Source organism: Homo sapiens, chromosome 10 (genome assembly GCF_000001405.40).
Source record: "Homo sapiens chromosome 10, GRCh38.p14 Primary Assembly".
Lineage (NCBI taxonomy): Eukaryota > Metazoa > Chordata > Mammalia > Primates > Hominidae > Homo > Homo sapiens.
The window spans coordinates 116661620-116675509 of NC_000010.11; the positions used below are offsets into that span (position 1 = coordinate 116661620).

A 13890-nucleotide genomic window follows, 5' to 3' on the forward strand; every position below is an offset into this window, starting at 1 on the left:
TTTAATTCAAATAGCGATTTTTTAATGACTTTTTTTTCTTGATTATAAAAACAATACCTATTGGCTATGGAAAATTGAAAAAAGCATAAATAAACAAAAATAACCAACAGGACCATCATCCAAATGACCACTGCTAGCATTATAGGTTAGTGCCCCCCCCCACCCTTTTTTAAAAACAGAAAGCAGGATTATAGTGTGTATGAGTTTGTGTGTATGAGGGACACACACACACAGGTCTGGTGTTACTGTACAGTTTTATGACCTGCCTATTTCATGTATGGGATCCTCAGTATTTTTATACAACACCATTTTTCCATCATATCATTTAAAAATAATGAGATGTACCATAATCCTGAACCCTGTGGGGAAGGTGTTGTTATCTGGTTTTGTGTGACAATCTCCCTTTACACACATTCGTGGCTGTTTTCCTGGACAAAGGTTCTTAACCATTCTTGTGGTGGGGACCCACTGCTGTCTAGTGAAACCTGTGGGCCTCTTGTCAGAACAGTATTTCCAAATGTTTAAAGCAAAATACATAAGATTACAATGGAAACAATATTGAAATATTATCAAAATATTAAAAAGAACAAATTTATAAAACAGCCATTTCTTTATTCTTATATTGAATAACACTATGTGAGAGAGTAGATATAGTCACTGTAATAACCACCATGATTACAGAGATGAGCTTTAACATCATTCCAGCTGTTTGCAGCCAGAGCCACGTGATACAAAAACATCTGTGACTGCTCTCAGGCCAAGGTGACAGGTCCTGCAGTGGTTTGTTGCCTGCATTCATCAAGGAAGGAAATACTAAATTTCGCCTGGAGGTTAGTGAAAACAATGATGTAACTTTTTTTCTCATCAAAGTTCTCTGACCTTCTGACTTCTACCCATGGAATCATGGGAGCCCAGCATGTCCAGGTGAAAATTCTTGCCTTGGAAAAAACCTCCGAGGCCCAGCTTGCTGCCTCGTGTGGCTCTGCACATTTCTGAGTGGATGACAACGGTCTCATTGTCCCAGGAGCTGTTATTTCTTCTGCATACGGGTGGTTGCTGAGGGAGGTCAGGGTGCCTGCTGGTGGCAAGATGATGTTATCCAGTGTTACGGCTTGAACTATGTCCCTCAAAAAAAACATGAAAGTCCTAGTCCCCGTACTTTATGTGACTTATTTGGAACTAGAGTCATTGCAGGTATAATGAGTTACAATGAGGTCACAGTGAAGTAGGGCATGCTCCTGATCCAGTGCGACTGGTGTCCTTGTAAGAAGACGGCCGTGTGGCTGGGCACAGTGGCTCACACCTGTAATCCCAGCACTTTGGGAGGCCGAGGCAGGCGGATCACGAGGTCAGGAGATCAAGGCCATCCTGGCCAACACAGTGAAACCCCATCTCTACTAAAAATACAAAAAATCAGCCGGGCGTGGTGGTGGGCGCCTGTAGTCCCAGCTACTTGGGAGGCTGAGGCAGGAGAATGGCGTGAACCCAGGAAGCAGAGCTTGCAGTAAGCCAAGATCACGCCACTGCACTCCAGCCTGGGTGACAGAGCTAGATTCTGTCTCAAAAAAAAAAAAAAAAAAAAGAAGATGGCCGTGTGAAGGCAGAGAGGCACCCAGGGGGCCTGGAGTTAGTAGCAAGAAATGCCAACGTGGCTGCAAAACACAGCAAGCTAAGAATAGATGAGTAAGGATTCCCCACGGGTTTCAGAGGGAGCTGGCCCTGCTAACACCCCAGTTTTGGACTTCCAGCCTCCAGAACTGTGAGACAATAAATTTCTGTTGTCTTAAGCCACCCAGTTTGTGGGACTTTGTGGAGGCAGCCCTATCACACCAATATAGCTGGTATCTGCCAACTGGACCCTCCTGGGGACTGGGATTCTGGAAAACCAGGGCTGGGGTGGGCGTGGTGTCTGCGCCGCTGTCAGGAACATGCCAGGACCCAGGGACTGTTTGGTTAGAGGGTTGGGCTAGGTCTTCAGTGAAGATCCTGGCCTGGCTGCAGTGTTACCTCGGGGGTTAGGAACCCTAGCTCATGGTCAACATAACCTGGAGAAAACCCGCACAAGAAACTTTAGCATGCGGAGAAGCAGCCTCTTTATTCCCACATGACAAAAAACGGTCTTTATCATTAATGACATGCAACCGTCAACCACTCAGGATGCAGGCGGCAGTTAAAAAATTCTTGTTACTAAATTTCTTTATTGCTCACTGGGCGTGATTCCAACATGAGAATGGCAGGTTTTGGAAGCCCCACTTAAAGTTCACCTCCTTGGGAGACTCTGCGCTTCTAGCCTTCTGCATACTTTGCGGAGGACAGTGGCTCTAGATACATCTTCCCACTGCATGGTATACTTGGCCTCTGAGCACAGCCACATGTCAGCGGAGTTTTGGGGTCCTCTCTCAGGGGCCTTCCAAGGGCAGGGCAGCTTCCATCTAGGAGAGGAACCGTCCGTGTGAGTTGCAGGGAGCTGGCCCAGCTAAGCAGAAAGGCCACTGCAAACATTTCATCCCCTTTTTAAAACGGTAGTAGGAAGGAAAGAGACATTTCTCCTCACCTGGAATAGAAAAATCGGGATATTTTGGCAGCAGCTCTTCATGCTGCAAAACTTTTGGAGACGGAGCAGAAGTTTTTGTGGAGCTAACTCCATATATTCTAAAACAAGAATAGAAGTCACAAAGTTATGGACCTTTTATTAAGAATAGAATAATAATAAATAGAATAAAATACAATACATAAATATGAGTAAATATATGAACATGGTATGTTATTTCTTTACAATTTATTCTAAAGGTAAAGATCACCCTCCTCATTTCGCAGAAGAGAAAGCTGAGGCCACTCAGCACCCTTGGGCCTTAAGCCACTGCCAGGATGGTAGCCCTGCTGGTTTTTACTCCCATCCCCTCCCTGCAAACCAGCAAAGACCACAGGTAGAGCTGCTGGGGAATGCTGAGCACAGGTTGGGAGCAGAGGGCACCTGCCTACTGGGGAAGCCCTGAAACTACAAATGAGGCACCTTCTCTAAGACAAATCACACACAAATAGTCCTAGTGCTGGGATGGGGACATCTGGTAAACCCCCATCCTGGGTTTGCACTTCTCCCTTTGACCTTGTGCCTGGGGTACGGACCCAAGCCAGACTCACTCTTCATATGGTTTCAGATGTGCCTTCTTGGCCCTCTCCGTGATCTCCAGGAAGTCCTTGTAGCAGTTTTTGGCCATGACAGTGTATCTCGTGCCACAGCCAAATTCAGTGACCTTGGCTCTCGGCAGGTAGCCTGCCCAGCCAGGGATCGGGGGCTCCTGGAGAGGTTTCTTTACATATTTGCATTCTGTAAAAAGACACCATGGCACAGAGAAAGCAACTAAAAAATGTTTTCCACTGACCCAGAAGCTGAGGCCTGAAAACTTGTGACTTGCCTAGGGTCTCCTAGTTCTCAGACCAGCACCCTCTTCCCTAACCAGGACTGTGCCCCCTCCCCTAGAAATGTTTCTTTCTGGCCAGCCTCTGTGGCTCATGCCTGTAATCCCAGCACTTTGGGAGGCTGAGGCAGGCAGATCACCTGAGGTCAGGAATTTGAGACCACCCTCGGCAACATGGTGAAACCCCGTCTCTACTAAAAATACAAAAATTAGCCAGGCATGGTGGCATGCACCTGTAGTCTCAGCTACTTGGCTGAGGCTGAGGCTGAGGCAGGAGAATCGCTTGAACCCAGGAGGCAGAGGTTGCAGTGAGCCGAGATCACACCACTGCACTCCAGCCTAGGCAACAGAGTGAGACTCCGTCTCAAAAAAAAAAAAAAAAAGAAAAAGAAAGAAAGAAAAAGAAATGTGTCTTTCTCATTTTAAGAAATGGAGCCTTTGCATTTGGTGCTGACCCCTGGGATTTGGAACGGTGCGGGATTCTGGGTGCTATGGGGCAGCTCAGCTGGCCTATGAGAATCTGCAGGGGTGACCAGGGGTGAGGGGAAATGGTTTCAGGGCGCTGCTACCCAGGATCAGGGGGTGGTACTGCAGATTGTACTGGTGCAGGGCCTGCAGGACCGTCTCCTCGGAGTTGACAGGTTTCAGTTTCGGGGCAGTGGCCACTGCGCAGCACAATTCCCGCAGCTGTTCTTTATAGCGCTGTGTTTTCTCCTGGAAGGTTTTCACACAGTGGTTCATGTCATCCTCCTTGGACATTCCTTGGCAGCTGAGGAATGGCACAAAGCCTGCAAGAGCCGAATGGAATCACAGCCTTCAGCAAGACTGGCCAGCAAGGAATTCAGAGCCCGCCTAAACTCCCCAGCATTTCAGCCCACCCTTTGGCATTTCTTCCTCAGCCAACAGCACTACGTTTTTCCAAAGGCCATTAATACAAGCAGTGCTGTTGTTTCCACTGCGGCTGGGCCCTCCCAAGGCCACAAAAAATGACCTTGGAGCTGGGGAGGGAAGGCCCATTTCAACAAAGGCGATGACAGTAATACTCTTTGAATAGCAAAGCCCCTGATGTCAGCCTGACGGAAAATGGGGAAAGCATTTAATGGGCCAAAATGATAGTCTAAGGAGTAATTGAAATTATTCATCTTTTTAAAGAGAAAGCTTATTTTCCTCGACACTTCCCAAATGCAATTTGGGATCTTTCTTGCCGGACCATCAGGAAATTGCAGGCTTATTAAAAGTAGAGCCCTGTTACACAAAAAGGTAAATTCATTATCTGCAAGACCCACCCCTAGCACAATTTTTCACCATTTCCCACCAAGTAACATATAATCATTACAATTAGTATGGGTAAAACACAACTATTTACTTAAACTGGAGGCTGAATCCTAAGTACTATAATATTGTCACAATAAAACCATTTTTTTTTTTTTTGAAGAACAAATGAGGAAAACTGGTTAAGAACTTAGTTTCAAACTGCAAAATAAATAAATAAATCTCTCTCCTTATGGAAACCCAACATTTTTGCCATGGTCTCCAGGAAAACAAAACCTGGCTTCAGAGTTGAAAGTAGCAATCCTCACCCCCAGAGCCCTACAATAACCCCCTCTGGAAGAACCTAATTACTAAACTAATCTTGACAGTGTTGGAAGCCTTCCATGCATCGCCCAGACTCCCCAACCCTTGGATGATTAAAAGATATCCTAACATTATGAAGACCCTAGGGGCTTTGCCACAGTGGTTTCCCTGCCATCAGGGCCGACTTTGGTCTGCCTAGGTTTTATATTAGTGCATATATGCACAGACATAAGCATACGAACTACCTTTATCGAGTCTCGCTAAGGACCAAGACATTTAAAATAGGTTATGTATGCTGGCTCCTTTAATCCTCACAACAATCTTATGGTATCCCATGTAGTGGGTTGAACTGTATCCTCCAAATAGATATATGCAAGTCCTAACCCCTGGTACCTGTGAATGTGCATTTATCTACAAATAGGGACTTCTCAGATGTAATTAAGTTAAGGGCCTAAAAATGAGATCATCCCGGATTTAGGGTGGGTCCTAAATCTGATGACTGATGTCCTTATAGAGGAAAGAAGAGAGAGACTTGTGACACAGAGACAAAGGGGGAAATGCCGTGTGAGGATGAAGAGAGTGACTGGAGAGATGCTGCCACAAGCCAAGAACACTGGGGCCACCAGAAGCTGGAAGAAGCAAAGGTGGGATCCTTCCCTAGCGCCTTCAGAAAGAGCATGGCCCTGCGGGCACCTCGATTTCAGACGTCTGGCCTCAGAACTGTGAGGGAATGCATTTCCATCACTTTAAACCACATAGTTTGTGGTAATTTGTTGCAGTGGTCCTAGAAAACAAATACATCCATTTTATAGAATGTTGTACTTACCACAGAGAGGCAAGTTACTTACAGTCTCATCGACAGTGACCAAACAGAGATTCGAACCTCAGCTTGTCAGAACCCAAAGCCTATTCTCAACCAGCCATTAGGACCAGAGTGAGGTTGGGCAACCCTGGAATATCACCCAAGTACTATTCCTCCTGAGAACGGCTGTATGGGAGAGCCAAGGGTCTGTGGGGACCACTGGGTTTGTCACCCACAGGGATATGACTTAGTAAGTTCTCAGTAGCCCAGAAGCCTGAGGAGGAATAGCCTCTAGGTAGGGCAACCAATCGTCCTGGTTTGCCAAGGACTGAGGAGTTTCCCAAATGCAAGATTTTCAGTGTTAAGGAAAGTCCCAGGCAGTCCCAGGACAAAGGCAGTCCCAGGTAGACCAGGGCAGTTGGCCAGCCTTCCTTTAGGGGATGCAGGAAAGGATGGGAGCACAAGAATAACCTTTGTGGAGGACTTGAGAAAACCAACTTGGGGAGAACAGGGCCTCTACTTATTCATGTGTCTATCCTCATCACATTGTGTCTATCCTCATCACATTGTGTCTATCCTGGTCCAAATTCATTCAACAGGCATTAAGTGCTTCCTCTGCATACCAGGCCATGTTCTGGGACGTGTGGTCTAAGTTCTGCCCCTCAGAACCCGGCCATCAGCCATCTTCAGCGATGGAATGCTCTCAATGCATGTCTGAGAAGCTAGAGCGCCTAGACTGGTCCAGTTGGCTGCACAGACACAGACAGTGGGTCAAGGCAGGGACAGTGACCAGGACCCGGGTTCCCCTGCCAGGCACAGCTGCAGGGTACGTCCACACTTACCGCTATAGCCTGGTGTGATTGGCAGGTTTCTCATGAAGGTCTTGGAAGGCTCCATGATTTCGCTCTCTGTTAGTGGAGGGAAGAGGGAATGAAACGGTCTCATCAAAAGTCACTGCCTTAAGGAATTACTATTGAGTGTGCACAAGCTCTTGGGAGTGGAAGAATGACTGCCAGGAGTTGGGGCTGAGAGGCAGCACTACCACCTTACCCAAAGCCAGAGACACAGCTGGCTTCAGTCACAAACCAATGACCTATTACCAAGGGCCCATCACCTTTTATGTTAACTTGGATAACAGTGTGTAGATCACACCTACCAGGGTCTCCTCTCCCCTCCATCCGACCTCCAGCCATCCAACAATTGTGAACTGTACTCATACTATGGCTGTGAAACATGATAGAGGCTGGGAATGCAAAGCTTCTGAGCAAGCCCAGAAGCCCCTGTGTTAGGTTCATGAGCCTCAGGTGAGGAGAGAGATGAGGCCCGCACACCCCCAGACCTCCTTCTTGATCCAGGTGAAATCAGGTTGCAGTGGTGATTTTTGCCAGCCCCCACCATTACCCCTGGAACATCTGGCAATGTCCAGAGGCATATTTGGCTGTCAGAAGTGGGGGATGGGATGCTACTGAACATCCTGCAATGCTCAGAAGCCTCCCCCCACCCGCCGGCACACACATGCACACACACACACACACACACACACACACACACACACAAACAAGGGAGAAGAAATTCTGGCTTGAAGGAATCAGGAAGTCCCAAAAGGCAGACATGGAGTCCAAGGAGGGTAAGCAGAGGCCACCCTCTGCTTCAGGGGGCTCCACTGAAACATCAGTTTATGTGGATGCTGTTTCTGCAATAAGACACCTTCCCTCTTTGGGTATCGCTGGTCATTCCCCCCAAGTGGGCTGAGGCCTTGCCAAGTCCTGCCCTGCTGAGCCAGTTCATCTCTTTAAAGAAATGCCTTTGAGGCTGGAAGAAGAGGATTCAGGGTGGAGGAGAGGGCCACAGTCATGGCTTAGTCAGCAATGATGGGGATTGTTAAGACAGTTCAGCCCCCGCCAGGCTGACAGCAGTGAGGACTGTGCCGCGTCTAGGCCACTCTAACCCCTGGCATCACGTACCTGACTCCTGGGAGGAAGCACTGGGCCTGGAGTCAGACAGACCTGGCTGTGAGACCATGTCCCACCCATACTGACCACCTGCTTACTTTTCTGAAAGCTTTCCACGCTTGTTTAATCCTCTCAACAGCCCCATGATATAAATGCTATATTATACCCATTCCCCAATTTAAAAAGGCAACAGACAGGGAACACTGGCTATCCCCATGTGGTTGCAGCAGAACCGCATTCTCCTTTAATCCCCACAGCTTCCCTAAGAATGAGTTCCTGTTGGAACCCCCATTTTATAAATGTGAAAAATAAGGCACAGAGAGGTTAGGTAACTGGTTTCAGGGTTCCAGAGTGAAAGGGGGTGCGAACAGATGACCTCTAAACTCTCAGGGACAGGATATGTTGCCCAAAAGCATCAGCTGGGGTATAAGCCTGCCTGGAGGAGGTGGGCAGGGAGGAGGGTGGGAAGAAAGGCGGTGTCCTGAGAAAGGGGGCTAGGAGTGGGTAGAAAGTAGGGCCCCTCCTAGCCACCCTCTTCCAATCCCACCTCAGCGCTCACCTGGGCGGGGCTGGCGCTATCCGGTGCCCACTTGGCCTCTGCCCGGCCGCCCAGGATCCCTGCCTTCCACCAGGCCTTTGTGCGCTCACCCGGTGGAGCACAAAGGCCCCACCACCGCCAGCCTGCCCCTCCCCCACCCTTCCCGCGGTCCCACCTGGAAGGTGGGCGCTTCCCCCAGCGCCCGGCACAGCCCGGACCCCGGTGTAAAGTCGGGCATCTGCGCAGTAAACATCTGGCCTCGGAGCTGTCCTCCGCGCCTTGGCTGCCCCAGCCAGGGGAAGGATATGCGGAGGGCTCTAAGTCAAAGCGGGCGTTTTTGCGGGTGTAGACACTGCGGCGCCTGGGTCTGCAGGTCTGGCCGGGGAAGCGGGTGGGCGGGAACAGGGGGCGGGGCCGGCAGTGGGCGGGAGGAGGCGAGGCCTGGGGGCCCTGGCGCCTCCAATACAGGAGCTTCCTGGGCCTGGCAGCCCCTCCCTCCCTGTCTCCTGTTAGGAGGGGCAGATTTTCAGGTGGCCGGGACAGGTGAAGGCAGAGAGGAGTGGCTGTCCACCTGGGGAAGGTGAGTCATCCTTCTTTCTAATCACTCTTGGAGGGACACCCAGACTTCCTCTCATTGAATTGAAACCCACCAAGATGTCCGCCCTATGAACCAGCATGTGCTGGCTGCTCCCTTTACAGAAAATGACGCTGAAGCTGCGCTACTTCCAGGACACGCTTGTTTGCTGCACCTCCCGGCCTTCCCTACCTCTACTTTTCTGAAAATTGAACTGCAAATGAAGGCTGGTGGAGCCGACCACCATTTATACCTCTCTTTTATCACCCCATTTAGAACATACCTCGGGCCATCAGGAAGCTTTCAGAGCCAACTGTGGAGGGCGACTCAGGTGTAGGCTCTGGACACAGCCAGTTTCACGTGACGGCTGGGATGCCCAGGGGCAAGAGCCCAGCCAGGCCTTCTGCATGTTTTAATGACTTACACTGGGGTGCAGTGGCATTGGCAGTGGTCACTCTGCTTACCTGCCCTCCCTCTGGCTAGACCACTTTCTTCCAGAGAAAAGGGGCTCTGTGCCCATCGATGGGGCCTTGGTTCCCAGCAAACAAAGGGCCTAGTCTTGTTAGAATAACTTAAGAAAACTTACAGCACCTGGAAAAAACTGAAACTCTCTCTCCACCACCTGAGATGGGGTAGAGAGGGAGATCAGTACTGACGTGTCCATCATGCAGTTTGCAAACCCAGGATGGGGGGAAAAAAAATCTGGGCCACATGAGATTCAGAGTTTTGCTTTATTAGGCGTCTGTGAAGACAAGAGAGTTTGCAGACACAGTCCCGTCTGGTGGTGAACTGCTGCAAAGTTCTGTGAAGTTTGAATTTATCTTGTAGTGAATGAGACCCCAGTAGCTGATATTTTAGAATACTGGTCCATATTTCAAGCAGATGAGAGGTGTGGCATTATGGCCAACAACTTTTATATTAGCCATCCACTCAAGCCGTTTCCCAGCATACATATGCAGCTTAATCACAGCTATACATCTCTACAATGTGAAATTCGATCTTTGACTAATAATGCATTCTGACTCCTGTTTACATTGGTGCATGCGATTCTTTGCTACCCTGGCAATTAACCAGACCTGGACTCTAAAAGCTAAACTTGGTCTAAATAACATTCTAAGGGTAAGGCAACCTCTATAATCTGGACTCAGCCATCATTTTGCAAAAACAGTTGTATGGTTCCTCCTCTTTCCCCTCCTGTCTGTAACTTGTCTGTTACTCAGCATTTATTCATGCCTGCTGTGTACGGAAAGGGCAGTTACAAAGGAAAGCCTTGATGATTCTGCTTCCAAGAAACGTGAAGATCAGATAATATGCCAGGGACAATTGAGTAATGGGTCAAGACAACAGGCCTTGTAGGTATTTTCTAAGGTTAGAAAAATGTGTTCAAGTGTACTTATCCAGTGCTCTTATTCTAGAATATTCCAGTGGGGGTAGGGAAGGAGGGATGGATTTGGGGGTTTCATTTAAGGACTCTGACAACTGGGGCTGCAGCTCTGTGGCCAGAAGATAAAATTATCATCCTCTCCATCACCTATCTGCCAACACTGCAGATTTCTATCTGCTCATTTAAGAGAAACAGTACACAGGGAGATAGCATTAATGCAAGGCAGGAAAGGCTTTACATTAGCCCAAAAAAGAGGGGCTTGACCATGTTACTCACACTTACACTTAGCCCAGCAGAAAAGCTGGGCTTATGTACCACTTGGTTTCTTTCTTTGACCCTAGCATCCTGAAAACATCACACACAGTGGACCACGCTTTGCCCTCAGAGTGACTGCTCCGACCCGGAAGGAGAGGTCAACGACCCCTCAGGACACAAAGGGTTTCTTAGGTTGTTCTGCGCAGTCACATGGCTTCCAGAACCAGAACGTTCAGCTCTTAAAGTCTGCACAGAAGAACTGATAGAATCTGCTCCTTTCAATGGAATCTGTGACTGTTTGGGAAGGATGTGCATGGAGAAGGGTCTGATGAGGCTCCTGATCCAGGCGGTCCACGTGCGTTCAGTGTGTTTGGACCCTAGGCACCTCTGTCTATTGCTCGGTCTTGCGTACATAGTCCATAGCTTGGCATCAGCACAGATCGATGCTTAGTGAGCACAATTAAGAAACCAAACTATGGAAAATTAAGGACAGTAACAAAAGTATCATCAACAAAAATCAAGCATTTTCCTCTTTTTGAAACAAGAAAAGCGCATCGTAGAAACCAAGATTCTGTACAATATTCTAACATTATATGTACATAAAATTATATTACTCATAACTATATTGAAAAGTCTTATTTGTAGAATATGGCTGGCAACAAAGAAAGACCCATACCATTTAGCGTTTGAAGCAGGGCAGGTAGCAAGAGAACATTAGCAAAGACACCTTTGTGCCTGGATACACAATCCTGCTACTAAGTTATGTGACTAACCAGCACACTCTAAGTTCTGTGGTTTGTTCGTTGTTTCACATTCTAGTAGGGAATTCTGCAGCAGGCGATGCGAAAAAGAAGACATGGTCAAATGAAATGTGAAATGCTGTTTAAAATCTGCATATTGGCTATGATAATGGGTTTGTGAATCCAAGTTGCATTGGAAGTTCACTCATTCTCCATTCATTATGCATGCCTCCAGTGATTTAATGAATTTCAGCAGGTGGAAAAGACAGCTTTGAACAGATCAGATGGGCTGTGAGTCAGATTCTTGATTCTTTTTCCTCATTTGGCTCCTGAATGTTGCAGAAAACTGGTTTTGTACACTGGGGAAGGAGAGAGTGAAGACCCTCCAGTTGGTTCCTCAGTCAGCTCCGTTCTTGGTGTCGCTTTCTTGCAATTTTTTTCCTCCCCTGGCCCTTCCTGTGAGGGTTAAAAGGGCCATCTCCAAGCCAGGTGGAGCCCCAATCCCATTGACCAAGAGGGCAAGGTATGGGGTCACCTTCTCATGGAAGCCCTCTTCCTAAAGGAGCCCAAAGGGGACACCTGCAGAGGGCGGGCTGTGATCTGTGTGTGAACTTCAACAAAATCTCAGGTTAGTATTTCTCCAATTTCAGTTGAACCACGATGTGGTATACACTACAAATGCAGATTCTGGTGCCCCTCTCCAAGAGTCGGCCTCAGTTAAAAAGGGCTCAGATCCAGGAACCTGTTCTGAACACGCACCCAGGCAATTCTGATGCAGGCGAGCCACAGGCCCGCTGTGAAAAAAAACTGACTTAATACATCAAGTATAGATCTACAAATTATTTTTAGAGAGACTTGAAAAACTGAAGATTTTAATGAAACATTGCATAGCACAGATTCTCTTCCCAAATTTCACCAATGTATTCCTTTCAAAATGTGGAATTAAATGGCCAAAACTCTTAGGGAGATGAAGGTGAGTGGGAAGGAGGGGGTTAATTTAAAATCTGTCTGCTTTTCAAGGTGAGGGGCTCTTCTGGATGTCTGGTCTTGGTGATGCAAACAAGACCAATGGCAACCTCATTTTCTTACCCAGAATTCCTACTAAGGTTCACTAGAATTACTTATGAACTCAGAAATCAGGGCTGGGCATGCTGGGAATTTATGTCACAGCATATAATTTGGGATACGTCAGTAACTCTTCACTATCTGTTTCCATCATGGCAAGTTTTCACCTGCTAAGAATGTGAGGTATCAGCTCTCCTACTCACAAAAGCCCTAGTGGATTACCCAAGGCTACGGTTATTCTTCCCTGAACCTCCTTGCTGTTTAAATGATATGAGAATCTAAAACAGTGCCCAGTGTAGGCAGCCTTCTACCACCAGCTAAAAACATTCCCAGTTCCCACTGAATCACCACTTTTAATCACATGATGAGGAAAAGAAATTAACTGCAGATGGGTGGCATTTTATATTGATGGCCATCCAAAAAATTTAGAAAGACAAGTCTCAGATGAAGATCTCCTCCTGGTTCAAAGATCTCATTTTAAATCTAGAAAGACAGCAATAGGGCATCCTAAATTCTACATAACGGAGATCTGTTCAAAGCAGCGCAACCACTGCTGCAGAAATGTACTGATTCCCTTCTCCGTGGCCATTTCACCACTTTTGTACCTATGAAAACTAGCTGCTCCTCCAGGATCCTTTAATTTTCTATGCCTAAACCTTAATCTTAATTTCTGTTTTTCTGACTCCAGTGTGCCCTCAAAAGTCACTAATTATTTCTAGCCCTGATTGTTCTCATCTTCCCTGCTGAAATTCACATGGGCAATGGTGAGGGTCAAGGTTAGGGAAAGAACAGTCAAGGTTGAGGTCAGCAGATGCAGATAAGTTGAGTCCAAGGGGACAGGCAGCGGGGCGGGAGGGTTAGTAATTTAAGAAGTCGATCCCAACTTTGACACTCTTCGAAGTGGCTATATCAATGGCTGTGGCTTTGATCTCGGTGTCCCCGAACTGCATAAGGGTCTGGATCTCCCTCCGGGCGGGCACCGCAGTGCCACTGGTCCCTGTGAGATCCAGGCGGAGCGTGCCACACTTCTTCACCCCGGGATCAGTGATGAAGCTGACGTTGTCGTGCTCAGAGCTGTAGATGTTGATGACAATGACCAGCTGGGAGGGCTTGGCCGGGGTGTAGCTACGCTTGACCAGCTCACCCAGAGCCACAGACTGGTCGGCAGAGATGAACTTGTCAAAGACGTCGGTGCACCACCGAGTGCCATCCTTCACCAGCAGCTTCTCAGGCGGGTGCTTGCCCTCCACGTAGCGGTTCAGCACGCCTACCCCGTAGGTGAGCGGCGACCGGCGCACCTTGATGACCGCGGGGTCCAGGCCAAAGAGGACGGCACCCTTGAGGATGGTGAGGCCCACGTCCTGGGGGATGATGATCCGGCACTGGTCCCCAAAAGCAGCCTGCACCGCCTGCTGCAGCAGGGGCGCCTCGGCAAAGCCGCCCACCAGAAAGAGGAACTTGACGGTGGACACCTCGGGCTTCTGAAACAGGTCCCCTGGAAGGGAAGAGGCAGGGAGAATGTCCTGTCACCAAAAGCCAGCAAGGAAGGGGGAACTGGGCTGCCTGCATCTGTGGGGAACGGATAA

General features: G+C 48.2%; 2 protein-coding genes and 1 long non-coding RNA gene across 20 annotated transcripts in view; 1 reads left to right on the forward strand and 2 right to left on the reverse strand.

Annotated features, from left to right (window-relative positions):
• Positions 1–591: 591 nt before the first annotated feature.
• On the reverse strand, positions 592–8663 carry SPMIP5 (sperm microtubule inner protein 5). 12 transcript variants are annotated; one of them, XM_047424663.1, is made up of 7 exons: positions 8462–8663; positions 6639–6704; positions 3989–4207; positions 3142–3328; positions 2555–2652; positions 880–1078; positions 592–789 (listed from the first exon to the last, which is right to left on the reverse strand). In XM_047424663.1, exons 2-7 carry the CDS (start codon positions 6691–6693, stop codon positions 753–755), a joined length of 795 nt encoding a protein of 264 aa, XP_047280619.1. In that variant the 5' UTR covers positions 6694–6704; positions 8462–8663; the 3' UTR covers positions 592–752. The 12 variants fall into 12 exon arrangements, with proteins under 12 accessions (XP_047280619.1, NP_001337859.1, XP_011537645.1 ...); NM_001350930.2 differs by adding an exon at positions 2265–2432 and having other exon boundaries at positions 592–1078; XM_011539343.4 differs by lacking the exon at positions 8462–8663 and adding an exon at positions 7761–8347.
• Positions 8436–11119, forward strand: HSPA12A-AS1 (HSPA12A antisense RNA 1). 2 transcript variants are annotated; one of them, NR_187551.1, is made up of 3 exons: positions 8436–8659; positions 8775–8866; positions 10586–11119. It is a non-coding gene; the product is annotated as an HSPA12A antisense RNA 1 (long non-coding RNA). The 2 variants fall into 2 exon arrangements; NR_187550.1 differs by having other exon boundaries at positions 8800–8866.
• Positions 9573–13890, reverse strand: part of HSPA12A (heat shock protein family A (Hsp70) member 12A) — a 179556-nt gene continuing 175238 nt past the window's right edge. For all 6 annotated transcript variants that reach the window (XM_005269673.6, NM_001330164.2, XM_011539579.3 and 3 more), the window contains one exon: positions 9573–13799. In XM_005269673.6, coding sequence (XP_005269730.1) covers positions 13162–13799 — 638 coding nt within the window. In that variant the 3' untranslated portion in view covers positions 9573–13161. The remainder of the gene's footprint in view (positions 13800–13890) is intronic.

Bases quoted from the DNA above. Each gene is read 5' to 3' on its own strand.
- SPMIP5 (XM_011539340.4), bottom strand. From the start codon at position 7,818: ATGGTCTCACAGCCAGGTCTGTCTGACTCCAGGCCCAGTGCTTCCTCC. The intron at 6,705-7,760 runs GTACGTGATGCC...CTCCACTAACAG, and splicing joins TGCTTCCTCCCAGGAGTCAG to AGAGCGAAATCATGGAGCCT. The intron at 4,208-6,638 runs GTAAGTGTGGAC...CGGCTCTTGCAG, and splicing joins AATCACACCAGGCTATAGCG to GCTTTGTGCCATTCCTCAGC.